General features: G+C 37.1%; 1 annotated feature.

Moving 5' to 3' along the window:
- Window positions 280–1,185: an enhancer, noted in NCBI's record as "OCT4-NANOG hESC enhancer chr7:93852708-93853613 (GRCh37/hg19 assembly coordinates)". NCBI's record gives its function as "activates a minimal SCP1, AML or CMV promoter by ChIP-STARR-seq in primed H9 embryonic stem cells {active_cell/tissue: H9 hESC(primed)}" and the evidence as "EXISTENCE:reporter gene assay evidence [ECO:0000049][PMID:30033119]".

Below are 1,433 nucleotides of genomic sequence, written 5' to 3' on the forward strand. Positions count from 1 at the left end.
ATGTAGATATAAATTAAGTTCCTTAAAATCTCTAGAGTCTAGAGAACATACTAGCTGATGATTAGGAGGTTAAAAAAATATTAGTTCTTCTTTCATGGTGACTAGTATTTACTTCTAATTTTCAACAGTTTATTAATTTTTAAAAAGAAACAAAATATTTAACTGTACTTTTTTTTTTTACAAAGCAGACTATTGCAAATTATAGAGAATATTTTGACCCTTTTGAAGAAAACCTGCATAGAGTGTTAGATTTAATCTTAATAATGCTTTATTTTCTACAATAAGTCTGTAAATAAGTTCAAGATCATCTGCTGTGTGATCTCTTCTCTTGCAGGAAAGGAGAAAAAAAATGATAGTAGTCGCTGCAAGGTAAAGGCTTATCAATGTCCCTTTAGGAGGGCTACTCTACTTTCCTTTGAGAATATCCCCATCTTGTGGAATCTCCTATGCCCTGAGGGCACGTTATGGGCAATTCTCCTCTGCATTTCAGCCAGGGGGCTGGAGATTCCTCAGATAAGTGTAATCCCTGATGATCTGGGCAAAAATCCGATTCCAAAGAGGTGTCTACACATTTTGAGTACATATGCCCCAAAGCATGCCAATGACAGTCCTAGAGTTGTTCAAATGGCTCCAGATTCTTTTTGAAGTCTCATCTCCTGTGTGTTCTGATTACTTTGGCTTACCAGCAGGACGACTGTTTTGCTAAATTAATGCACAAGACATGTGAAGGAGATGAATGCCCTTCCTGTTGAGAGCCAGCAGGAAGGCTGGCTGCTGAGGCAGATGCTGTCTGTTTAAACACCTCCCGCTCACAGCCTAAGTGCCCAAACCCTGTGGAAGAATGCCTGATTCAGGAACCAAGGTTGTCAAACCAGATCACATTAACTGCTTTGGCAGCTTTTCTCTCTCTCCGACTCAATGCTGTTTTGTGGTTTGCAGTGGGTGTTCTTTACCATGGCATTAAATTCACAACACAAGAGGCGTAATAGTCAGGCTCCTGCTTTGAAAGAGATGAGGTTATCTATGGAATAATTAGCCCATATCTGAAAAGAGGAGAGATAAATCAAAACCTTCGCAGTGACGAGTTGTTTTCAACTGGTCAATTCACATTGTTTATAATACGAAGACAACCCATCCATTAAGCATCCACCATTTTAACGTTTAAGAATAAGGACAGTTGATATTCTTGTTTAGGATTTCTAGTGCACATGGACGAACATTGCACCAGGTCAATTTTTTTTAAAAGTAGCTTAAGACAAGAGCCATGACATCAATTTTGTGAGAAGAAAAATCATCTGTTTTAAAAAATGAAAAAGAATAAAGAATTAAAACATTCTCAATCTGCATTTTATTTTATGGTCCACAAGAGATATTTATTTGATACAATAATACAGTTAGTGTTCCATCCAACAACTAGAACAAAAGGAATAAAA

This window comes from Homo sapiens, chromosome 7 (assembly GCF_000001405.40).
Source record: "Homo sapiens chromosome 7, GRCh38.p14 Primary Assembly".
NCBI lineage: Eukaryota > Metazoa > Chordata > Mammalia > Primates > Hominidae > Homo > Homo sapiens.